Source organism: Homo sapiens, chromosome 8 (assembly GCF_000001405.40).
Source record: "Homo sapiens chromosome 8, GRCh38.p14 Primary Assembly".
Taxonomy (NCBI): Eukaryota; Metazoa; Chordata; class Mammalia; order Primates; family Hominidae; genus Homo; species Homo sapiens.
In genome coordinates this window covers 116,059,032-116,086,658 of record NC_000008.11, presented here as the reverse complement: position 1 = coordinate 116,086,658, position 27,627 = coordinate 116,059,032, and the positions used below count along the sequence as shown (strand labels likewise).

At 35.6% G+C, this 27,627-nt stretch overlaps 1 long non-coding RNA gene across 1 annotated transcript in view, besides 1 other annotated feature; it reads left to right on the top strand.

Annotated features, from left to right (window-relative positions):
* The window catches only part of LINC00536 (long intergenic non-protein coding RNA 536), a 374,549-nt gene that overhangs the window by 238,401 nt on the left and 108,521 nt on the right, over positions 1 to 27,627 (top strand). The gene's annotated exons all lie outside the window — the stretch shown is intronic.
* Positions 17,130 to 17,292: a silencer, noted in NCBI's record as "fragment chr8:117081592-117081754 (GRCh37/hg19 assembly coordinates)". NCBI's record gives its function as "represses an EF-1alpha promoter that drives an FKBP-Casp9 reporter gene in an ReSE screen in HepG2 liver carcinoma cells {active_cell/tissue: HepG2}" and the evidence as "EXISTENCE:reporter gene assay evidence [ECO:0000049][PMID:32094911]".

The window sequence follows — 27,627 nt, the reverse complement described above, 5'->3', positions numbered from 1 at the left end:
CCATGAGACCATTTTCTTTCTGAGCAAAGGAGAATCTAGCAGAGAATATGTCGTTTTCTCATCTAGAATTACCTTCAAGGAAAGTCAGCCTTTTGTGATGTCTGAGCCAGGAATCCTGACCCTTTTAAGGGTCCCCAGTCTATCGTTTGCTGTTGGTATTCATTTAACAGAGATTAAGCTTTACTTTCACAATTAAAAAGATGATAACATCCAGACCGACTCATTTGTATTAGCATGCAAATGAGCAATACCCGATAGACCCTTTGTTGAGAACAGTGGAAAATGGGGGACCAGAAAGCTCTTGGGTACATGAAGATTGGCAGAAGTGCTGGAGAGCCGAAAAGGGCTCAGAATGGAAGATTTGGATCCCTAATGCCTATTTCCCACTTTTGCCTCAAGCCAGACTTACAAAGCAAATATGTTGTAAATTTTATGTCCTTTTATATCTGCTTTCTTTCCCTATGTTATTTGTCTTTCTATGTAAACCACTAGTCACCCTGGATCACTGTGACTCTTTTATCAATAGGCCATCAGCCTGCTAGGTTCTGTGGTTCTGTGGTTTCTCTGCTGTGTTTTCAGCAATTCTTCTTGCTCAGTTTGTTCCCCTTGTCATCTGCCCACAGGAAGGGTTCTTCTAAGTTTAGATTCAAATTAATTTACATTTCCCACAAACCTGATAATTGTCTTATTTCTCTTATAAATTATTTATACTGGAAAGACTGAATCATAAAACTGGATCCAAAAATAATGTTATTTTCATGTGTTGATTTTTAAATGGATGCATAGATCATATTTTACCCCATATGTATAGAGAGAGAGATATGTATATGTATATGTTTTCTGTTTCTATTTTTGTTTTCAGTTTGCTTTTGTCCATGTGGCTCCCTGGTCTTTGTATGTGATTAGAGAAGACATGGCATTCCTTATTCTTTATATTCATCTATCAATCAAAAGCATTTTTTAATTCAACAACTTGTCATTAAATGGTCCATTACAGGCCAGTAGGGGAGATACGTATATATACACATATATATATTCCCTGCATTCTAGAGTGTTTCTAGAGGTGATGATAGACAAACCTATTGTTATACAGCAAAGTCCATTGAATACTGAAGGAGAAGGACAAAGTCCTCAGTTTCTGGAAGGAAGTAATCACATTGATTGGGAAGACTGAATGAAGGTGAGACGGATAGGCTAGAGGTACCTTTTGGCACAACTGTCTAGCTCTACATAACTACTCCAAAACACAAAGGGCTACTTTCCCTACATAGTGATCCTGGCCCTTTGTCTTAGAAAGCTGATTCAAAGATGGGTATCTGATCCAAGCTGGAGCCATCAGTATCCCTTCTTCCATACTTTGGAATTTTTAACTAAGAAGCAGAGACTTGGAGTTGTCTGAGGGAAAGCCACATAATCATGCGGTTGTTTAAATATGCGGGCTGTCAAGCCAGTTTGAGTTCAGTGCCTTGCTCTGCTACTTTGTAGCAGTGTAGTCCTGGGAAATTTATGTAACCTCTTTGTCTTTAGTTTTTTGTTTATGTAGAAAACAGGAAAAATAATGTGAACTTTCTCATACAGTTGCTATGAAGTATAGATTAAAGAATCTATTGAAAGTGTGAGCCGGGCGCAGTGGCTGACGCTTGTAATCCCAGCACTTTGGGAGGCTGAGGCAGGTGAATCACCTGAGGTCAGGAGTCTGAGACCAGCCTGGCCAACGTGGCAAAACCCCGTCTCTACTAAAAATACAAAAACTAGCCGGGCATGGTGGTGTACACATGTAATCCCAGCTACTCAGGAGGCTGAGGCAGGAGAATCGCTTGAACCTGGGAGGCAGAAGTTGCAGTGAGCCGAGATTGCGCCACTGCACTCCAGCCTGGGCAACAGAGTGAGATTCCATCTCAAAAAAAAAAAAAAAAGAAAAAGAGAGATATGCTGTATATTCAGTTAATATTTGTTCTTAAAATTATCATGACTCCCATTGTTATTAAAGAGCTATCTCACAAACACCATTGGTAGGTCCATGAAGCACCCCTTTCATCAGGGATTATTTTCCTCTTCCTGCCATCAGCTCCTCTTTGGGTCTTTCAATATCCTTCTCCATGGAAGACAATAATAATAACGTTTTGCTTAAGTTATTCTGGTTTGAATTATTGTTACTTAAAACTAAAAAAAAAAAAAACTAGATCTAATAAGGTAGTAGAGTATAACAAATTTTTCTTCCTCTTCCTTATTTCCTTTCTTGCTATCATTATTATTGTTATTGCTTGTGGTTATTTTCAGGAAATTAAAAAAGAAATTAATTCAATTCTCTCCACAATTTGATTAGATATGGATATGAATTAGCAAAATTTATTATCACTGTAAATTCTGACACAGATGACAAAATAAAATAAAAAACAAACAAACAAAATCAAGATGGTTGCAGATGACCTAAATCTGTAATGGAAAATTAATAAATAAATAAATAAATAATATATATTATATTTATATACTATATTATAAATATACCATATTATAGAATATGGCCACCAATTATATACATTTTGTATATATAAGCATATATAAATATATATTTATATAATATAATATATAATATATATTATATATTTTAAAAGGCATATAGAATATGGCCACCAATTATATACTTTTATATATATAAATATATATATAAGCATATATATATAAGCATATATAAATATATATTTATATAAATATATAATATAATAGCATATTTATATATGCTTATATATATATGCTTATATATATTTATATATATAAAATGTATATAATTGGTGGCCATATTCTATATGCCTTTTAAAATTAGAGGCCTCCATATGCTACAATTACACAGAAGTACTACATTATTTAGGAAGAGAAACATCCAGCATTCAGAATGATTCAAATATGACTGCCTTTGAAAAGGCAGGGGAGATATAGCTATATGATGAAAAATACTAGATTAAAAAGGATTAATTTCCACACACACACAGAAGTCATCAATTAAGTCAACCTCATGGCTATTCTTATGATAACCCAAATCACTGGTTATTATGACTTCTAAAGAATTTTGTCCTAGAGAACACACCCTCAATAGTTACATAGACACCTACACCTTGAAACTGCACTCTGGTTGGATGTATATAAAGTAACCACTTTTTATGAATTTAATGATGTATTGCACAATCTATAATTCATTTATGAAGTAATCCAGTTCTGGCTTTATCATACTCTGGCCCACAATTTTATTTTTTTCTTGTTCACTCACTTGTCTAGCCTAGCTTCTGTCTTGATCAAACAACAAAACAAAATAAGAAAACAGAATAAGATGAAAACAAAACAAAACACAATAAGAAATGAAAAACATGGACTTGATACTTATTAGTAGACAATTCTTATTGAATAAATACTCCAGAAGAGATGCTCCATTTTAAGAATTCTGGCTGTTAACAAGATCAGCAATTATAGTATTGTTAAGACTCTTTCTTTGGCAAAAGAAAGAAATCCACCTTAGAGGAGTTTACATTAAAATAGGATGTATTAATATTTGTGATTAAAAAGCCAGAGGGCTTCCCTGATCTCCCACTGGATTCAGGTGGTGAAATACGGTCATCAGAGCTGTCTCTACGCTGTTCTGTTCTTTTGTCTGCCAGAGCCACCTTGCCTCACTCAGTTATTTAGGCTTTTTGGGTTCTTGCTGCATAGACGATAGTGAAATGTTGTCTAACAAAGGGTTGGGCAGGGAGACAGGTGAAGGGATAAAATGTAGTGACAGAGATAGATGGTGTGTACCTTGTTTCTTTTTTCCCTTCATTCTCTTCATTCAGTCACATATTATAAATATGTGGAGATTATATAATAAAAATTACTGCCGTTAGTCAAATGCTTCCTCAGTCCCAGGTCTGACACTAGGTCCGCAGGGAGAAGCGAGAGGGTTCACCCTTAACCAGGACCTAGAGAATTTGCCATAGGATGTCTAGTGAAGATTATCCGGACTTTAAGATTGTTGTTCACGTTTTTATCACACAAATTATGCATGGATCTAAAAGGAAACAAATTCTCCCATAATACATTTCAAAGTGAATGCTAGAACAATACAAAGCAGCATGTTTTTGCTAGAAATATATATATGTATATGTATATATACATATATTAGACAGAGTTTCCCTCTCATTGCCAGGGTTGGAGTGCAATGGTGTGATCTCGGCTCACTGAAACAACCTCCACCTCCCAGTTTCAAGCGATTCTCCTGCCTCAGCCTCCTGAGCAGCTGGGATTACAGGCGACTGCCACCATGCCCAGCTAATATTTGTATTTTTAGTAGAGACAGGATTTCGTCATGTTGACCAGTCTGGTCTTGAACCCCTGACCTCAGGTGATTCACCCGCCTTGGCCTCCCAAAGTGTTGGGATTACAGACATAAGCAACTGCACCTGGCCTCCCTCTGTTTAAAGATGTAGTTACCCTGGCATACAGATCTCACTCTTTTCGTCACCCTTTTTTCCAGGAAAATTAAGCCGTAACTTCCTTGATGTAGCTACGAGTTTCTGTAGAAATTCCAGATACAGTATATATATATATATATATATATATATATATATAGAGAGAGAGAGAGAGAGAGAGAGAGAGAGAGAGAAATAATAATAATAATGATTATAATAATTTGTTTATGTTTTAAACTTCCACCTAAAGAAAGGAACTTTGATGGCAATCTATGTATAGGATGTCATATTTTACATTAGATTTTACAGCTTTTTATAGTCTACACAGTTTTCAAAATTTTATGTTTTGCTTTCAAACAAGTGTAGAATATACCATTTAAAACCCAAATTTATTTTATACTAATACTCAACTGGTTGCTTTCAAAGTTCCACAAGTTATGTATGACTCTAAAAGAAAACAAATCCTTCCATAATACATTTTAAACTGAATGTTAGAACAATTTCAACAAATATGAAGCAGCATGTTTTTGCTAGAAAATAAAAATATTTTTACTTTGTTTAAGGATGTGGTTACCCTGGAACACACATAAATCTCTTTTTAGACAATAACTTACTCATAAAGAAAATTTAGAGGGAGATCTTTTCCTCCATGGGAAAAATATCCTGATTTAAAGTACTTCAACCAAAGGAAATTTCTCCAAGTTAACCAAACTCAGGGCATCCAGCTCGCAAGATGGTTAATTTTCTAAAGGAAATTTCTTTTCCTTATATGGAATTCCTGTTGCAAATGTATTCAGGGATTCAAAGGAACGATTTTGACTATCTGAATTCATCAGTAGCATTTTATCTGTGTGACTATATCTTTATATTGGGGAAAAACAAACAAACAAAAAAAAAAAAACAAAAAACAACTTATCTCCTGCCCCCTAAAAAAGGAATTTGGAACTACATAAAATTTTTTAAATTCTTAATTTAGGACTTTCAGCCTTTTTTGATAAAGCTGTCAAATATTACTTACCTTAAAACAGCAACATGATATAGAAGAGATGAAAGCCAGACCAAGGGCAGCCTTGCTATGGAGAAATTTAAATATTCAGCACCATTATGCAGCATAATCTGTCCAGCTGGTTTAATGACCAGTATATATTATGACCATTCCTTTCAACCTCTTGTGCTGGGCTGCATGGATGCATAGAATGGAGTTCTGTAAGGCTGCCTTCCCTGCAAGGAAGTGTTGATTCGCTTAAGAATATTGTACAGTCAGAGCGACTGTATGAACCCAGTTGAATGTAAGTCATGTTCTAACTTGATAGTAATAAAAGATACCATGTTAGGATTTTTTAATGAATTTCTTCAATTTATGTCCAGGTTATACATTTCAAGTACAAGACTATCTGAATAATTCCATTTATAATTTTTCTGGCTTCACTGTGTACTTCTCTCTCCCTACCACACCCACCCTTACCCCAGCTAACTGACCACAGGAAGGGCTTGGATTTGCTATAAACATAATACTGATCACCAAATATGTGACCAATATAGACAAATATGTAACCATCTACTTGTTGGTTACCCTTTATTATCACACTGTGCAATACTGATGGTGCACTAACCATGTGTCAGATTAACTTTGTTGTAGGTTATATTTGGATATAAAATGAAAACTGTTCATGTATTTTCTAACTTAGTGGTTCCTTGTTCAGATAGCTCTGTTAACTGGTGGCAACTTTAGAAAATTAGAAGAAACCAATGTAACCTTAAATATTAATTGGCTCGATGTTTCCAACCTCATAGGCATTAGAATACAAATTCCCACAGGGAAGAAATTTTTGTCTGCTCTGTTACTATCATTTTCTCAAAACTGAGCAGTTCCTGGGACATAGTATGTGCTCAATAAATATAGGTCAAATGAATAAATGAACTACATGTAAGAATTATTTTGTTTTATCAAGATCCATATGGAAAAGAATTGTGAGTAGATGCCATGAAAATGTCTTCCCTAAAGGTCATGTAGAAAATATGCTAGATTGAAGATAAAATATTAGTTTCATTTCATTTGCCAACCTTGATTGAGTAATAGTGATTTTATTGGACACTAAGTTGAGAAGGATTCTGTGGGTCATCCAAGCTCAGTGGGAAAGTGTGCCGTAATGATGTCTGCTGTGGGAGGCAGTCATGATCCATATAACAAATATTTGCTATTCCTGAAGTGTTTTCTTATCTTACTTGGTATATACTATTCAGATTTTGCCATTCTTAGGAAAGTTTCTCATATAGTTGAATTAATACCATCCATTATAGATACATATTGATCCTAAGATTTACACATAAATTAATTTAATTTCCTCTGCCCTATAAGTTTCTGGCATGTTGACAAAATCCAGAACAAAAAAACTATCTCTTTCTAAGAAAATTTGTTATAGATACCTGTGCTCTACTAGAATGTGCAAGGCATTATATGATTCTATTCTGTGTTACCAGTTTTAGGAGAATATTAACATAACACTCTTTCACCTATAACACAGTTCCAGGCCTCCAGCCTCATTTTAGCGTAATTCCAAGGTTCCAGGGTAATTGTCCAAGTCTTTTGAAAGCTGCTTTCTTGCAATGCATTTTCTCTACATTCTTTGTATTTGCCAGAATGAACAAAACTGATTTTTGTCAGCTGTCAAATGGAGCAAAATGTCAGAGGGGAAGAAAAAAAAAAAAGCTTTTTCCATACGTACTTTCAATTCTTATAACAAAAGTAAACGATTAGGCCATTGGTTGTCTGCTCTGGGGAGAGGTTTATGTTTCCAATATTGCATAGCACACTCATATCTAAGCAGATTGGAAACAGTGCTAGAGTCAACAGGAAGATTGGCAATTTTGCTTTATTCAGATGGAGCCAATAAGCTATTGGCACATCGGGAACAGCAGCCTGAAAATTCTAAATATTTTAGAAGTGGCCTCCCTCTTAGGTGGTATCCACTGATTTGAACAGGCTTTTTTGGCATTTCCAGATGAATTGTGGGATGTGCTGTTGTTAAATTGCAGGTCATGTTGGTGAGTCTGGGGCACACACACACAGCCTGTCTATTCCACTGCGGGACTTGTTCTGCCAGCACTTCTCAGCTTTGACCTGCTAAGTGATTCAGACTGTTTATTTAATCACAAGGTTGAGTCTCCTTTAAGTTAAAAAAAACTACCACTTAGGCAAAATATGGCAGATAATAGGGTGGTTTATAACCATCTTAGCCTGTAAATTCAAACCAATATTTTTTTTATCAGAATTAGATCAGTCCTGCCAGTTCAACTTTCCCTTAGCAAATGTTATTTCTATGACACTCTAAGTGTTTTTATTTCCACTGAAATTGACTCAGACTACATAAAGCTACAGTACATCTGCACATTTTTGATATGAAGAGAATTTTTTTTAGGACCTATCTTTAATTTGTGTTTTAATTGTACCATGTAGTAACATAGCTTCATCCTCCAGAATGGTCTCCTTCCCCTTCATCTCCCACAAGAAAAAAAAAATAGCCTTTGGGAAATCTCATGGACCCAAATGGTGAAAAGATTAACCTAGAATCCAAAGCAACCTGATCTGCTGCTATTTCACTGGCCTTTATTTGCAACAGCACATAATGTTTATCTCACAAAAATGGGCTCCCTGTATCCCAGCCAGTCAGTTATGTTGATTGTGAAGCTCAAGATTTTTACTGTCCTGGTAAGGCAGCCCCAGATGCTGGGCTTGTGGCATATAAGTAAATACTCCCTAAGGGTGGACCTAATTCAGGTGTTATTTTATTGGCATTGGAGTTTGGATCCTCATTCTCTTTTGCTCTTATGGATGAAGGTAGTTACCCAACTAACTCTCCTAGTCATTGCTAATGTGCTGGTATGTTTCAGAATCATTTGGGGGTGCCTGTTGAAAATGTAGAATGCTAATTCTTGCCTCACTCCAGTGCTGCCTAATAGGAACCATAACTGCTGCTTTTAGCACAGCTTCCTGGGTTCTTAAGAACTCAGGATCAAGAGAAAGATCTAGCTGCAGCTTTACCTAGTATAAACCAATATTGACCTCGTTTATACTCAGGACTGGTGTTCATTCGGCCTGCACACACAGGTACAGCTAAAAAAAAGTTGTTAAAATATCCAAATATTTCCAACCTAATTGCTAAGGGACCACTTCCCCAGGTTTTTTGAATGCCTCATTTCCATGCCAGCTTCTTCACTGGAATCCCTCAGGCCTCCTTTCTCCCCACAATCCACCAACTGAAGGGTTAACACCATGCACAGAAATTCCCTTCAACTCAGCTTTCTCACTGGGTCTTCTCTCTCAAGATTTTATTCTCATGGCCATAACAATCAAATATTTGGTGGTTAATCATCAGTTCCATCTCCTGGTCATATTTTCTTCTGAGCTCTAATCCCAGAGAGCTAACTGCCTGGTGGGCATTTCATTGGCACCTCTGTAGCAAATTAAAGCACAACTGTGTCAAAGAACAAATTTGTCATCTTTCTGCCTAAATTCAGCTCCTTCCTCAACTTCTATCCTGATTCCCGATTCTTATTCATTCTGCCACCATTGCCTAGACAACTAAGCACAAAACTGAGTCATTCTTGACTCCCTGCTCTCTCCATCCAATTAGTCATCCAATTAGTTGAATTTTACTCTAAAATTTATCTTACATCCATCATTTCCTTTCCATTCCCACTGCCACCACTTCACTGCAGACTCATTGCCTCACTTTTAAATCAGCAATAATTTCCTTCAAACTTTCCTTCATCTTTTTTCCTAATTTTTTCCTTCATGCCACCTCCAGATGAATCCTTGTGAAATATTTTGATCATGTTATGTTTCTATTCAAATCCCTTCAGTGGGTCACTTTCCTATAAAGAAAGAGCCAAATGTCTTGAACTGGCATGTAAAAATTATATTACTCCCGAAAAACTGTCTTAGGTCTCTCTAGTCTTTTGTGGCAGATATTATATTAGATATTACAGAATTGAACTACGATTCATCTAACACATTTGACTTCAACAGACAAGGGCTGAAGTGATGCGGCCAGGATAATAATCCAGTTTTCCTGACTCTTTCTTCTACACTATGTTCCTGCCAACCCCCCCATAGAAACTGCAGGCCTAGCTTTGCCAGATATCTCCTTTGGCATCTAGTCCTTGATGTCTTTCTCTCAGGGATGATGCATTATGTTTTCTCTTTCCATCTCCCTATTGCTTTTACGAAGACTTGTTCTGATTCAATTCTGCCCTAATCTTTCTTTTTCTCGTTACATTAGGGACCTTATGTCACCTTTGAGTTGCCTAGTTGAAATTGGATTTAAGTTTTTGCATTTCACCTCAAACCACAATACTTCCTCCCTCACTCTCTGAGCTGAAGACTTTGTTTTCTGTTTTATTGGAAAACATTGGGCAATCTTAAGAGGACTTCTATACTACAGTGGTTCTCAACCTGGGATGCACCCAAGAATCTTCTCCATACTAACAACACCAAAAAAGACAAAAATACAAACAAAAAATCAATACCCAGTTTGGAACCCAAATCAATTAATTAAGAAACTCAGGTGTTAGGTGTGTATAGGGGGTAGGCATTAGTATTTTAAAATATAATCTAGGTGATTCCCATGTACACTCAAAGTGAGAATTACTGTTCCACAAATTCTCATCACCGTATTTATCCACCTACCTGTATCTCTTCTCACATACTCTACCTTCTCTTTGGAAGAAGTCTGTGCTCAAAGTTGAGGCCATCCCCTCCACTTGTTTACAAGATCCCATTGCCACACATCTCCTCATAGTATCACTCCAACATCTAGCCACTCTTCTTCCCTTCTTATCAACATAAAAATATTCTGCGGTTTCCCCTATTTGGGAAAATAATGAACAAACTGACTCTCTCTAATTCTCTGCTCTATTTTACCACAAAACTTTTCTGCATCCTTACAAGAAAATTATTTTTTAAATTGTCTCTAGTGATTTCCATGTTGCTAAAACCCTATCATCAATTTTTAGTCCTTATCTTCCTTAATATTAGTATTTAATTCAGTTGATCACACATTTTGCCTTGATACACTTGCTGACTTTGGGTTACAAAACCCCCGTGCATTCCCAGATCTCTTCTTGTCCTACTGGCTGTTCCCTCTGCTAGTTCCTTCTCTCTGTCTCTAAATGTTGGAATATGCTAGGGACCAGCCTTGGGCTTTTGTTCTTTATCTACACTTATTCCATTGGTGATCTCATCCAACTATTTTTTTTAAAAAAACTTTATTGTAGTTTAATTGAAGTAAAATAAACTGCACATATTTAAAATGTACAATTTGATCAGTTTTGACATATGTATACACCCGTGAAATAATAACCACCATCTAGATAACAAACATTTCCATTTCCCCTCGAAAGTTTCCTTATGTCTCTTTATAATCCTTGCATCCCTTCACTCCAATCTACAGGGAATCATTGATCTGATTTCTTCACTAGGGATTAGTTTGCATTTTCTAGAATTTTACATAATTGGAGTCATGCAATATATACTTTTTTGTCTTGGCTTCTTTCATTCAACATAATGATTTAAAAATTCACTCATGTTGTTGTATGTATTAATAGTTGATTGCCATTTATTGCCGAGTAATATTCTATTGTTTGGATAGGCTATAATTTATCCATTTAACCATGCTAAAACTGCTACAAGGATTTCGTATAAGTCTTTAAACATATGTTTTCATTTCTTTCAGATAAATACCTAGAAGTGGAATGGTTGTGTTGTATATTAAGCGTATGCTTAATTTTTAAAGATGACTGCCTAGCTTTTTTTCACTGATAGCATGAGAATTTCAGTTCTCATGTCCTTGCCAAGACTTTAAGACAAACTATGGCCTGAGGTATCTTGTTTGCCACCTGTTTTTGTAAATAATATAGCTATGCTCCTTCATTCACTAATTGTCTATAGCTGCATTGATGCTACAGTGGCAGAGTTGAATAGTTTTGACAAAGACCATAAGGCCAATGAAACCTAAAATATTTACTATCTGGTCCTTTTATTCAAAAGAAGTTTGCTAAGCCCTGCTTTATATGGTCTTTTAAAAAATTTCAGCTATCTCAATGGGTTATCGTAGTATCTAATTGTGGTTTTAATTTGGTGACTAATGAGATTAAACATGTCTCCATGTGGTTGTCATTCACTTATCTTCTTTTTTAAAATCTCTGTTTCAACCTTTTATCCATTTGCATTTGTTTTTCTGTTTTCATTTATTTCTTATTAAAGTATAAGAGTTTACTCTCTACTCTGGAGTCAAATCCTTTGTCTAATATATGTAATGTGAATATTTTTCCTCCAGTTAGTGGCTTGCATTTTGATTTTCTTAATGACAATTTTCATATGATAATAGATTTTAAATTTAAGAAGGTCCAATTTATCAGTTTTATTTTTATGGTTAATGCTTTTAAAATATCTGTCTAAGGAGCTATCAACTATGCCAAACTTAAAATGATTACATCCAAGTTTTCTTCTAGTTGTTTTATAGGTTTATGTTTTACTTTAGGCCTAGTGTCTATTTGGAGTAAATGTTTGTGTATGATGTGAGGTAAAGGTTAGCATTTATTTATTTATTTTTGCTTATGGAGGTACAGTTGATCCAGCAAGATTTATTGAAAAGGCTTTTCTTTCTCAAGTGAACTTTCCTCTGTCAAACTCTGTCAAAAATCAATTTACCATGCATATATGAGTCTTTTTCTAAACTTTATTCTACTCCACTAATATACATATCTATCTTTTGGGCATTATCAAAGTGTCCTGATGATGGTAGCTATATAATAAGCCTTGAAATTAGGTGAAGTTCTTCTTTTCCAAAATTGCTTTCACTATTCTATACTTTTTGGATTTGCACACATGCTTTGGAACATTTTGTCATTTTTAACAAATGCATGCTGGGGTTCTGATTGGTATTATGTTGACTTCACATAACAAATTTTGAGAGAATTGCCATGGGAACAATTTTGAATCTTTCAATCAATGAATATCACATGTCTTTCTAATTGTTTAGCCTGTCTTTAATTTCTCCCAACAATACTTTTCTGTAATTTTTAAATAAAAGATCTTAGATGTCTTTTATTAGACATATGCCTAAGTAGTGTTAAAAGAAAAACTTCAGTCAAATTAAATTTAAAGGAGTTTAATTGAGCAATGAATGATTTTCAAATTGGGCAGCCCCTAGAATCACAGCAGATTCAGAGAGACTCCAGGGTGCCTCATGGGCAGAACAAATTTATAGACAAAAAAAGTAAAGTGACATTCAGAAATTGGACGTGAGTTACGAAAACAGCTGGGTTTGTTACAGCTTGGTCTTTGCCTTATTTGAACACTCAGTTTTGAACACTACACTAGTAGTTTGAACACTCAGCAGTCTGTGAGTGGTTGAAATATGGCTGCCGGGATTGGCCAACAGTCAGCTATTATTACAGGTGCATACTTCTAAGTTAGGTTTTCAATCTTGTCTACCTATTAAGTTAGATTGCAGTTCATCCACAAAGACTCAAATATAGAAGTATGGAGTCCTTTTCAGGCTATATTTAGTTTGCTTTAACAATTCCCCCCTTTTGGCCATTTTTTCAATTTTGATTGATTGACCAAAACTTTAGTAATTGATGTCACTATCACCATTGTAAATGTACTTATTTGGTCTTGCAACTCACTGGGAAACAGAACAGTGAGTTTTGCAAAGGTAGGAACAAGGACTGAGTAGAGGGTAACTCCCTATACTGGAATGCCCTGTTTACAGGAGAAAAACAAAACCTTGTTTGTCCTGGTCTAGGATCTTTGTGTTTCTTTAAAGTCTTAGTGTGATTATGTCATATTTAGCATGAGTGACTCCGTTTTTGTTTGATTTGGTCTGTTAGGGCCTAGTGCATGAGCTCAGTCCAAAACAATGGCCTCCCATAATTTTGCTTTAAAAAATTACCCGCTTTTTGGCCAGGTTTTCACTTAGGTGAGAGTGTGACTAAAACTTAGGGCCTTAGTACCACTCTCAGTTGACATCATTTTGTGTTTCTGGTCACAGCATGTGATTCATAGGTTACAGTGTCCTCATGATCACACATTTCTTTCAACTCTTGTCATTCCAGTTGAAGACGCACCATTTGACATTCTAGAGATGGCCGCATGCAAACATTTAAAACCTTTGAGATAATACAGTGCACCAGGGAGACTATTATGACTATCAGGAGGATAAAAACCAAGAGTTTGGCATATGCTTCTTACCTGGGGTTCCCATAAACAAAACCACCTAAAATCAAGTACTTTAAAGAATGAGCTAGATGAAGAGTCTACTCACTTAACTAAGCAGACTCTTTGTTAATCCTCTACAACTGAATCTCTATAATACCTGATTTTCTCCATAGGCCATAAGTGTCAACAGGCACACAGATACTTTTTTGTTTAGCCAGTTCTATTCTTTAGCATAACTTTCACAAGAGAATTTAAGGTCTGTGGTGTAACCATGGCATTTACAGTAGAATCTGCTATAGAGCCTATTATGAGGGATACATTTCTAATCATTGCCTCTGTTATTCCAAACTTTGGAAAAAGGACCTAACAAATGATGTCCTTCTCTTAGAGAAGAGCAAAGGCCTCCTTGGCAATGTTCTCTTTAACTCATGATGTGGGTTAAGAGGAGTGAATTAATGTTAACTTTCTGACTGATTATGAGGGAATGTATGTACCATTAAAGTTTCTCACCTACATTGGACCTTCATCTTTTACCTATCAAAGTATAAGATTATCTATGTATAAGGCTGGCTGCAAAATCCTTTACAAATAAAAGTATACTCCATAAGTGCACACAACAGACCCCCTTTTTTCTTTTTTCTTTTCTTTTCTTTTCTTTTCCTTTCTTTTCTTTTTTTTTTTTTTTTGAGATGGAGTTTCACTCTGTCACCCAGGATGGAGTGCAGTAGCACCACCTCAGCTCACTGCAACCTCTGCCTCTGCTGTTCAAGTGATTCTCCTGCCTCAGCCATCCGAGTAGTTGGGATTAGAGGTGTGCGCTACGATGCCGGGTTAATTTTTGTATTTTCAGTAGAGACTGGTTTTTACCATGTTGCTCAGGTTGGTCTCGAATGCCTGATCTCGAGTGATCCACCCGCCTTGGCCTCCCAAAGTGCTGGAATTACAGGCATGAGCCACCACACCTGGCCCCCTTTTTCATTTCTATTGTTCATAGAGGCATAAACAAGAAAAAATATTCAAAGATAAGAGTCTCTTAATAGAAGAAGTCTTGATTTGTGATTTTGGGAAAGCTGTTCACATCAAGGATGCCATCTTTTTCTTGGAGAGACTTCCCTGATTAGCTTTACCTTAAGGATTCCAATGGGTGTACAGTTCCAAGAGTGTGGAAGGACCCTTCTCATTTGCGAGATTATGAACCCAGAGTTCAAAGTTCCAAAGTTTTGCTGCAATGTGGATGGCAAGGACAGTCTTTCTCTGACATTCTCAGAAGATCCAGTCTTCAGGTTCTAGATTGGGAAGAGGTTGATTGTCCATAAAAGAAACTTTCTTTACCTGGTAAAAATACACTGTGGCATAATAACTTAGTGTTATAACATTAGCCTTCTTGCATGGGAGCGCTTTTATACAAACAGAAAATATGCATTGAAAATGACAATTGAGTGAAATTCCTTTATAAAATGTTTAAATGGCCCATCAGGTGACCAAATATTCTAGAAGCTTTGATTGTTTTCCCAGGAATACAGGACCAAACATTGGTTATACACTATTTTAGCAATTTATAAGTCACCACACCAATACATTCAATTTGGATTATTTTATCTTTTTTATGATGAGTCGTGGAATAAAGAACTTTTAATAACAAAAGCTTTAACGACTCAGGAAGGACAAGGTGGCCATGCTGATTCTCCAGGAGTCCATGCTTAATTAACATTAGATTTTTTACCTTCTTGTATACCAGTTGGTTCTCCAAATTAGGTGCACAGCACTGACAAATGATTGGTTATCATAGGTAATTTGACTTAGACCATGGAGTTCTTCAAAATGTATATCTAAACAATTTCAGTATCAGCTGATTTAGCATCAAAATCTGGTAAAGTATTTTCTTGGTATTTAATTTTTGTTCTACTGGGATTAGCAGTTTAAAAACCCAGTCTGTCTTTTCATTAAAGTTCCAGGAATTATTACCCTGTTCAAATAATATAATTCCCAAGTTATTAGAAATCTGTATTTAAGAGTGCCTTTTAGGGTCCTTTCCCTCCTTCATGAACCTACCAAAAGACACCATATTCTAGGATTTTGCATGCTTGTGAAGTTTCCAGAAACTGCATCAGCATTAAGCAAATAACTGTGGAAATGACTTTAAATAGTTATAGTTAAAAACACAATTGACAATGAAATTTGGTTATTTCTGTGGTCTACAATAACATAATAACCATAATTATGATCAATAGCATATACTCAGACATATTAGAATTTTAGAAATCTCATACAATTTTAAGACATATATTAATATGATTCACTAAAATATACCCTGAAGAAGATTAAAACTTTGTGTATTGTTGGCAATGCTTCCCATGAAATTGAACATGTCAAATAATTCTGTTTACCTCTTTTTTGGATGCTTCAGAGGCTATCTGTAGCATCTTAAAGTTAGAGGTCAGAAAAGACAATTTTGAAGCTGAAATTTGATTTTGGGAAGCCTATTAAATATGTTAAAGGTTTAAAATTCTTGATAATGTGAAATACAATTCCAGGTTACCATAATCATTCATTTAGCCAAAATGATGACTCAAAAATTTTTAAAAAGGCAAAAACCTTTACCATTGATAGAGGGAAGACAGCTTTCCAAATAATTTGTCTCTTGTCTTTCCTTTCTTTTTTCAGCAGTTTATTCAAAAGGCAAACAAAAATCTTTCATTATCTTTTAATATTACATGAAAATCTTGTTCAAGAGAGAAAGCCAAATTTCACCCTTGTATTAGTGTACTATTAATGTCAACCTTGATTTTTAATTAAACCTTATAGACAAATCTTTCCAATCTTAATCAATTTGACCATAAGGTGAGATTCTCATAGACCTTGTACTCTTTACAAATTTTTGCTAACGAGCAGATAAGTGCTTTAAGAAAATGCTGTTTGTGTTTTTATTTTGATGTTCAATTTATGGAAAAAAATGGAAAGACTCTTTTAAATTTAGTTAATATGTTCACACACAGAATGTTTTTTAAAGGATTAATTTTTACAAACCTTTAACAACTGTTCAAACTTTTAACTTATTCTTTTCTAATTTAAAAGAATTTAACCCTCTAAACTAGGCAAAAATTTACATTCCCATACCTTCTTGTAATCTTTCACCAAAAACACATTTCATTCTCCTCACATACCTTGCGTGTAAAACTATTTTTTTAGTAGTTTTAATCACATGTGATAAAGGTAACTCTTAGCAACTTTTTTTTTTTTTTTTGAGACAGAGTCTTGCTCTGTTGCCCTGGCTGGAGTGCAGTGGTGTGATCTCTGGCTCACTGCAAGCTCCACCTCCCAGGTTCACACCATTCTCCTGCCTCAGCCTCCCAAGTAGCAGGGACTACAGGCGCCTGCCACCACGCCCGGCTAATTTTTTGAATTTTTAGTAGAGATGCGGTTTCACTGTGTTAGCCAGGATGGTCTCGATCTCCTGACCTCATGATCCTCCCACCTCAGCCTCCCACAGTGTTGGGATTACAGACGTGAGCCACCACGCCCGGCCAACTCTTAGCAACTTTTACTTTCAGTGCATCCATTTCCTTTCATTAATCCTTTCGCAACTTACGCAGACCATCTACAACATGCTTGGACTTTCTGACTTGTCCTAAATATACTTCTTTTTAAACAACCAGTTATTTTACTTTAGGACATTTTACCTGAGTAAAGGATGGGATTGGGTTAGAAGCTTATCCTTCAGGAAAGTCCCTCATGGTTAAAAACGGATTAAAGATGACAGGGCCCAACTGGGGACAAGTTTGAGTCTTGCCAGTTCAATATTTGGTGGTAAGTTAATGGTCCAAAGAAGGTAAGCTGAACAATCTTCAAAAGTCTAAGAAGCAGTTTATGACCTTAAAGCACTTAGCAAACCTAATATTTGACCTGCCTAATTTAGACCAAATATCTCTATTTTACCAATAATCATTAAACCTGTTTTTATTTCCCTGAGATTACTAAAATTATATGAACTAAAAGGCATTACACTTTTTATTTTTCTTTCAAAATTTCAATTTAAGCACTTACTTTTCTTAAAGCCAATTAACTAGCTGGGATTAATCGTGTGTGCTATGATGCATGTGTAGTATGTAACTACACATACAGAAGATTTAGTAGTTGTAAGGTTTTTCATTTGCCAGTTTCTACATTTTTTCTTAATTGGATTACTGGCTTCAGGGTGGAGTTCTTGGAAGAACAGCACCAGGAAAGCCTGCAGCTTCTAGGGCCTAAGAAGCAGGCACAGCTAGAATGTAAAAACAGATCCCCAAAATTAAGGGTCCCCATTTTTATACCAGATCCTGGATACCAAAAAGAACGGAGCCTTAGATTCCAAGAGAGATCTATCCATTTCCAATTCCTGTTTTTTGGTTTTTTTTCCCCACAATGGGGTCTGGTGCCTCCTGTTTGTCTCAAGGAGTCCCAGGCTGTTACAGCTTGAATATCCACTTTTAATGAAGCCAACTTCTAACTATAGTACTTTTTTGAAAAAGTCCTTTTAAATCTTTTATTACTCAAACTTGCCTAGGCCAAATGGCTAATATTTCTGTGCTCAGGGAAAAGAAAATTTAAGATAAGTCATGGAGGGGAAGAGAATCAACAAATGGTAAAGGTCATGCGGATATCAAACTGGAAGTACTCATTTCCTAAGCTGGGAATTGAACCCTGAACCCGGGCTACCATTGTAAAAAGAGAAAGCAGGGCCACATAGTGACAAGGTCAAGTTCCCAAGGATATGATTGACGAGTTTGCTGCACCGTCTTGAACAGCAGGCATATGGGGTCCAGGGCATGCATTTTATCCTAAGGTATCCCTCTTTATGACAGAACAATACAGAAAGACACACAAAGCACGCCAGATTTAGTATAGCTTAAGATCAGCCTCAGAATTCTTTTTTGTATTAATCAAAACTTTACAGAGGAGATAAACAATGACGTTTACCATTCATTTAACCAGTTTGCACAGAGAGAGAGAGAGAGGCCAGAGTCTGAATGGTAAGAATTTTTTACCCTTTTGCCGGCATGCCAGGCTTCTGGGTTCCCTTTCCCTGAGCAGCCCTAGTGACCCTAGGAAAATAATCTTTTTTTGTTGTTGTTTCATGGAACCACAAGCAAAAGCCTCTCAATTTTGCAAGTTGCCACCCAAAGGATTGCATGGGATAACCCAATTAACATTGTTCATTCTGGCCAGAGTAAAATACATGTGACAAAACATAGATGTCAGCCACTCTGCTTAGCACCAAAAATTGAACTGGCAAGACTCAAACTTGCCCCCAGTTGGGCCCTGTCATCTTTAATCCATTTTTAACCATGAGGGACTTTCCTGAAGGGTGAGCCTCTAACCCAATCCCATCCTTTACTCAGGTAAAATGTCCCCCATTACTTATTCAAAGTCAGCCAACCTGTGCTGCAGTCTATTTCCTTCAGATTGGGATTCCCATGCCTAATGTATAAGCCAAGAAAAACTTGTCTTTTCAGAAATTAAGATCCCATATCTACCTAATATATTGGCTTTGCTCTCAGGTTCCCTTAATTAACTTACTGAATTATTTTTCTTATCTAAGCACACAAGGAAAATGAAACAAAGGGGAAGAATGCAAAAATCCCCTTACATTTTTAAAAGCCAAATTTTACACCTCCACGATGTTATCATTTGTTACCAGTTTCTTTCTGACCCAGTCAGATGTAAGAGGTCTTTAACTGGATCCAAGCCCATTAATTACTGGATCAAATCCATTCCTGGACCCAGTCCAGCTTCTGTCATGACTTCCAAACCCAGTTTAGATCAGAAATTTGCTCAAAGAAATTTGGAGAGCTCAAACCACAAATCCATGGAGCTCTGAAATCCAAGAGAGAACTTACCCATGATCTCCAGCTGCTCTGAGAGATCAATGGACACAAGTTGATCCTGTAGGTACCTTGCATGTTCACTCAGTGCTCCTGGAAGTCGTTAGAAGCTCTATTTCAGACCCCACTTCTGACACCATCTGTTAAAAGAAAAATTTCAGCTGAATTAAATTTAAAGGAGTTTAATTGAGCAATGAACAATTTGCAAATCAGGCAGCCCCCAGAATCACAGCAAATTCAGAGAGACTCCAGAGATGCCTCATGGTCAGAACAAATTTATAAACCAAAAAAAAAAAACAAACAAAAATGACATACAGAAATTGGAAGTGAGGTACAGAAACAGCTGGATTGGTTACAGCTTGGCGTTTGCTTTATTTGAACACAGTCTGAACACTCAGCAGTCTATGAGTGGTTAAAGTATGGCTGCTGGGATTGGCCAATACTCAGCTATTGTTACAGGCAGGTACTCTTAAATTAGGTTTTCAATCTTGTCTACCTATTAAGTTAGGTTGCAGTTCATCCATAAGGACTCAAATATATATAGAAGTATGGAGTCCTTCTCAGGCCATATTTAGTTTGCTTTAATAGTAGGTAGCATGATAAATTTTTTTTTGCCATTCCTATACATTGCATTAGTTTTGATATGTTTTCCAAATATTTGATGCTAATATATAGGAGTGTAATTTATTTTTGCATATTAACTTTATATCTTGTGAACTGTTTGTGTTCATTTGTTAGGTCTAGTTTTTATTTTGAAGATTTCGTGGGCTTTCCTAAAAAAAGAATCATATCATCTGCAGATAAGGAAAATTTTAATTCTTAATTTCTGATCTTTACAATTAGAATTTCTTTTTCTTGCTTTCTTGCAATGACTAGGACTGCCAGTATAGTGTTAAATAAATGTTACAAGTTAGCATCCATGCTTTGTTCTTGCAGTGTTTCAATTATTTACCATTGTTGATGACATTAGCGACATTAGCAGTAAGGTTTTCATAACTTCTCTTTAATTAGTTTGAGAATGTTTTCTGTCATTTCTAGTTTCCTTAGAGTTTGTTTATGAATAGGTGTTACATTTTGTCAACTGCTTTTTCTGCATCTATGGAAAAGATCCTGTTTGCCCTTTAGTCTGTTGATACAGTGAATAACATCAATTGGTTTTCAAATATGAAACCAAATTTACATTCCTAGAATAGAATGTACTTGATTGTAGTCATTTGAATTTTTGTATTTGTATGTAATGTTATTTTTCCTTAGCTGCTTTCAACATCTTTTTCTTAATCTTTGTTTTTTTGCAGTTTATGATGTGTCTTGACATAGTTTTCTTTGAGTTTACAGTATTTGGGATATGCTGAACTTTTGAAATCTATAAATTTATATTTCATCAAATTTGGAGAGTTTTTAGCCATAATTTCTTCCTATTTTCTTTATTGCCCAATCTCTCTCTTTTCCATGGGACTACCTTACAAATGCACAATCAGTGGATATTGTCATACACATCCCTGAGGTTCTGTTGATTTTTGTTCACCTTCATACATTTGTTTCTCTAAGTTTTGACTGCTTTTGATATTCTACCTGCTTTTGTTTACTTCTTGTTGTCCTCAGGAAATTGTCTGTAGCATTTTTTCTTTAGAGTTTTTAGTTGTAATCAGAAAAAATGTTGAATTGTAGTGGATTTATGCTGCCCCAGGAAAACCATACCTCCATTATAGTTGTATGGCTTTAAATACCATCTTATACCTGAGACTGCCAAATGAATATACTCAATTCAGACCTTTCCCCTTCAATTCCAGGTATTTGTGTCCAATTATTTGCCTGACATGTCTAACTTTAATGTCTAGTAATCATTTTAATGTAAACTACACAGAGCCCCTAATCCACCCTCAATCCCTAAAACCCGCTCTTTCATCCCTTCGGTTTCTTTGGAGTCATCTCTAACTCCTTTCTTTCACATGCAACGTCTGAACCATCAGAAATGCTGCTTTCTCTGTTTTCAAAACCTTTGAATATTTCTGTTACCCACCCCTCACTATCATCTCTGCCCAATCCATTAGCATATCTCACTTGGATTATGGCAGTTGTAGTCAGACTGATCTCCTGCTCATAAATGTTTGTTGAATTAATGGTTCGCCAGCCCTAAATGCCTAAGACATTTGCAGAATATTTAATTGCTGGGACTTGGCTTTTAGTGTCGACAAGTAAATGACTGAAAAGGTGAACATCACTTTCAGCTTCTTGGATCTGGAGTTATAAATCAGGGAGTAAAAAATCCACAATTCTTACTAAAATAGGTTGGGACTATGTCCTAGGGCTCAGCCTAAGTGATACTCCTGAAATAAAAGTTCTTTAGTAAAGATGTCTTCATATAAATCATGTGTTATATTTGCCTTACTCAGAACTGGGCCACACCCCATAACTGGGAGTGTATAATACCCCTGAGTGGGAAGAGCATTTAACTAGAGTCTTGTTATCAAATATTTTTCAACTTTCTTTGGTGTTTGGGAAGCCTTGGGCTATTTGATTGACTTGTGTATTTATTAGTGACTCTTCGTAAGAATAGCTACCAATTGTATCAATAGAAAGCTATAAGGATCCTTAGAGAATTTTCTGAAGTTACATATGCCCATTTACCCACTGTCTTCCTGTCCACTAATACCAACATTCTGGCATGTCCTCCAGAAGGAATCTCCTAATCTCTGAGAGGTGGAAACATTTGGAAAACTTCCGTAAATAATTTTTATAACTATAAAAACCTTCTTCCCTTACTCCAAACAAATTGTGCACCACTGGTGGTAATGGTGATTTTTTTTTATGGCTTTGTTCAATTGCTTACATATATATGTAGAGTTGCCTTTTTTATATTAAATTGTAGAATCCACAGAAAAAACATTTATGAAATTTATGTGCAGAAAGACTGCAAATATTGGAAGATTTTATGACCCACTATACATGATAATGACAGTTCTTATTCTTTCTTTTTAGGGAAAAAATGTTGTTTTCCTTTTTCTTTTTTTTATTTCTTAGTCTCCATAAAGAGATACAAGCTTACCATGTTTGCACTGGGATTTTTTTGTCTTCATTTATGCATTTATTTAATCATTCAGAAATGTGTGGTTGAATAACAATTTTTATAATCCTAAAGACCATAAAAATCAGAAGTGAAGATAAAAGGTAATTATTTACCCCCACCTCCAATCCAGTTAAAGAGCTTTTCCTAAGAGTATATTATCTATTATACAAGGTCACTTCCTCAAGTATCTTTAAGTTTTCTGGCCTTTTTTATTTTTGACAGGAGGATGAGTTAGGATAATCTACCTAACATGAAAAATAATTTAAGAGCAAACAAGGGATTCAGAACAAGATTGGGTAATATATTTTTAATGGAGGAACACACTAGTGCACATAAAAATTAGGGAGGATTATATGTAAGTAACAAGAGTAAGAAGCAGCATTTGATTTTAATTTTGAAGGACAAGAGCAAAAACATTTAAAAAGCTAATCTAATTTTCTACCTTAAAATAAGAATTATACAACAATTTTTTTTTTTTTTTTTGAGATAGAGTGTTGCTCTGTCACACAGGCTGGAATGCAATGGCATGATCTCGGTTCACCACAACCTCCACCTTCTGGGTTCAAGTGATTGTCCTGCCTCAGCCGCCCAAGTAGCTGAGATTACAGGCACAGGCCACCACATCCGGCTAATTTTTTCATTTTTAGTAGAGACGGGGTTTCACCACGTTGTTGAGTTCCTTACCTCCGGTGATCCCCTCGCGTCGGCCTCTCAAAGTGCTGGAATTACAGCTGTGAGCCACCATGCCTGCCCATTCTTTTTAATAAATAAAAATTCCATGTAGTTTAAAGAGCGATAAAGGAGGGCTGGGTGCGGTGGCTCACGCCTGTAATCCCCGCACTTTGGGAGGCCGGGGTGGGCAGATCATGAGGTCAAGAGTTCAAGACCAGCCTGACCAACATGGTGAAACCCTGTCTCGACTAAAAATACAAGAATTCCCCGGGTGCATGCATGTGCCTGTAATCCCAGCTACTTGGGAGGCTGAGGCAAGAGAATTGCTTGAACCCCGGAGGTGGAGGTTGCAGTGAGCTGAGATTGCACTCCAGCCTGGGCGACAGAGTGAGACTTTGTCTCAGAAAAAAAAAAAAAGAGAGAGAGAGAGAGATAAAGGAATGAAGCAACTAAGAGACTAAAGAAAAACCAAACTAATAATATCAGAAGCTGATTAGATTAGTGAAAGGAATACTAGACATTAAAATAAGAAGACATTGAAATCAAGAGGAAATGATATGGAGAGAATAGGAGAGAGGGAGAGCTTGAAGGCAAAGAAAGAAGGAACAAGAGAGCAACCATCTCTAGCCAGTTCTGCTTCTGATTTTCACATCTCCTCTGGAGGAGCTCTTTTCCTCCAACCCCTCATCTTACTCTCAGTCCTGCCACTGTTTCCCACCAATTTTCTTTACTAACTTAAATTCTATCAAAACAAACTCAGTCTAAATCTCTAGGCTGCCCATCTGTATTTCAGCCAGCAACTTTTAGGATCTAAATTAGTAATGATTTTGTCTCCTCTAAAAGCTTGAACACCGCAGTAACTGGGTTAGTTTAAGGCTTTGGTTGTACTAGATTATCCAAAATAAAGAGTGTATTGTCATTAAATCAACAAAGGCTTCTTTGAAGTCTGTGAGAGAATTTGATGGGAAACCACAATTCTTGATTATTAGGAAGAATCCTATACAATAAAACTTCTCTTAAAATCTATTATATGCTCACTTTGTTCTAGTTACAGAACATTTCTCTTTTCCTTACCACTTAGTTCTTCTAGGCTTATAACTTCCTGGAAAACCCATGTGAGAAATTCCAAAGTGCTATGTTTATAAGAGCTGTGTTCACAGGAGCTCTGGATAGTTGTTTAAATGTATTTGGATTTGAATGTTCACACCTGTGAATAAGCTCAAGCCAAAAAAACAACTATGAGAATCCAGAAACAAGGAAAAGCAGTTAAAAAAAACTGGAGCCTTCCATTTTTATTGAAAATAAGATTTTGAAATTGGGGATTGGGATCAAAGATGAACCATCATTTTAGAGTTTCTTTTGAATGTAGACCTGTGTATAGATCCATTCTAAAACCTGCAAATCATTTTGAAACTTTATGTAGATATAGCCCATGTCGTAGTAATTGAATACAATTCAGATGAATACTCAAAGACAAAAACACGGCTACTGAAAACAATCCAGTCTAATATTCTTTCTTTATTAAAGGTCAAGTGCTTAAAAAATTAATGTACTATACAGCTTCACTTAAATAGGACTAAATAAAGGACAGATTATAATCTAGATTGTACATGTGTAATGTTTGATGATTCATGTATTTAATTAAATCAGTTAATTAACTTTATCCATATGCACACATATAGATGTACATATATAGCTTTTGAGCTCATATTTTGAAACACTACCTTGGGACTACAAATTAGAGATTACTATGCAGAATTCTGTTTGAATATTTAGAAAAAAACAAAATAGCTTCTATTAAGAACACTATAATTTAAATATTAACTTTTAATGTTTTATTTTTAAAAGTTGTATTGAAATGATTATTTAGTGGTAATAACAGAGATGGAGACATGTAAATCAGTTATATTTTCAAAACAGAATTGTAAGATTTGTGATGTATTTTATCTGGGTATAGTTGATGCAGCGGGGATATAAAAATGATGTATTAGGTTCTGGCTTGAACATTTGGGTGGATGGTGGTTCCATTTAATTAGGTGGGAAAAACTAGGGAGAATAGTTCAATACTTGGAAATATGGAGAATTACTTAAATGGAAACTAAAAAACACACTAGTTCAGAAAGAACACACTATACAGAAAGTTAATTTCTGTATGGTGACATTAGTGATCTGGCTACCTATCACTTGTCATGTACTTTACTGAACATTTTATATACATTATCTTTTTCAACTATGTCAACAATCCCATAGCTTGATAATGTTCTTTATATAAAAGAAGGCATCAAAGCTTGGAGAAGTAAAATAATCTGCCTAAGACTAGTAAATAGTGGAGCAGAATTCACATTAAAATTTGGTGGACATCAAAACTTACCTTCTTAGTGATTAAGCTATTTCAAATATCATAGTAAAAAAAGATAACATGCTACTCATCTATATTAGTTTAGCTTACAGATCAGGAAGATAAACATAGTTACCCATTTATGGAGAAGGGAAAAAATTATTTTTTGACAAAGAAGGATTTTCATGGTAATTCTGGGTAGGGAGAGACCACTAATACCTATCTTGAGCTTAAAGAAAACTTGATTGATGCCAGTTACAAATCCTGTGTCACAACCAGCGAAAAAATAGAACAAAAAGTCGAAGGATTCTCTTATCTACCCTTGATTAGACCAACAATCATAGTTATGCTTTAATATTGCTCACCAGAAATTAATTTTAATATGTCGGTTAATAAGTTATGTCACTTAATTCTTAAATTAGTATTTGAGTGTGATCTGAAGAATTCTTCAGAAAATAATTATTTCGGAATTCACTGGAGTACAATCATGAATCCAGATTGGCAAATCTCTGGCTAACAGATCTGACATTCAGCTCTTTGCTAAAACACATTTGCTGAAACTAATAAAGCAACATTGATTATTGAGAAGCAACTGGGTCTGGTGAGGTAATAGTACTTAATTTGCCATCTGCATCTATTAATTGTTGGCTGTGAGACTTTGACAATTAACTTACAATTTTTCAGCCTCTGCTTTTTTGTTTGTAAAACAAGGATGATAATTCTGTCTTGCAATACCTGCGAGGATTAAAGAGAGTGTGTGTACAGCAAATGGTAATATAATTATAATTAATTGTTATTATTAGAACAAAGATCACAATGACAACAATAATGGTAATAATTATTATTATATCTCAGCAAAAATGTGCCTAGGAGAAGGGACTCTGGAATCAGAGAATTTTTTATTCACAACTCATTTTGACCCCTAAATCATCTATAAAATGATGATATTATCCCATCTTCACAGGATTATTGTAAAGATTATGTAAATTAATCAATAATTAAGTTATTAGAGTCATGTCTGGCATTTAGAAAGTGCTCAATAAATGTTGCTGTTGGTATTTTTATTGTTATGTTAGAAGTAAATGTAACAATTTTATCAATAATAAATCTTAATAGAAAATAGCCATAGAAAAATTACTGTTAATGATAAATGGTAAATTTCTTTCTTTTCTTTTTCTTTTTTTTTTTTTTTTGAGACAGATTCTCTCTCTGTCGCCCAGGCTGGAGTGCAATGAGTGCAATGGTGTGGTCTCGTCTCACTGAAACCTCTGCCTCCTGGGTTCCAGAGATTCTCCTGCCTCAGCTTCCCAAGTAGCTGGGATTACAGGTGCGTGCCACCACACCTGGCTAATTTTTGTATTTTTAGTAGAGACGGGATTTCACCATGTTGGCCAGGCTAGTCTTGAACTCCTGACCTCAGGTGATCTGCCCACCTCGGCCTCCCAAAGTGTTGGGATTACAGGCATGAGCCACCACGCCCAGCAATACATGGTAAATTTCTTTAAGAAAAATCTTAGAATTACCTCTTAAACACACCTCACTAGTCTTGGTGAATCTGCCTCAATTTCCATGACAGTGACTAATCTTTTCCATGACAGTGACAAATCTTATTTTGATGTTTTTCAGTTTCCACATTTGCTTTTGTCTTTAATTAAATTATGTAAAGGAATACACATAAAAGTGCTTTTAATGCACTAAAGAACAAAATAATTTAAAAGTATCATTAAAAGAATGTTAAAAATTATAATGAAACATTCTATAATCTATTTATCTATATCGATTTATCTATCTGTCTAACTGCCTATCTTTTTTTAAATGTTGAAAAGAACTTTCATGTAGCATATTATTCTGTACTTAAAATAATGATGTAAAAGGAATAGGTGATAAGGCCGGGCACCCTGTCTCTACTAAAAATACAAAAATTAGCCAAGAGTGGTGGAGCATGCCTGTAATCCCAGCTACTTGGGAAGGTGAGACAGGAGAATCACTTGAACCCGGGAGGCACAGGTTTCAGTGAGCTGAGATAG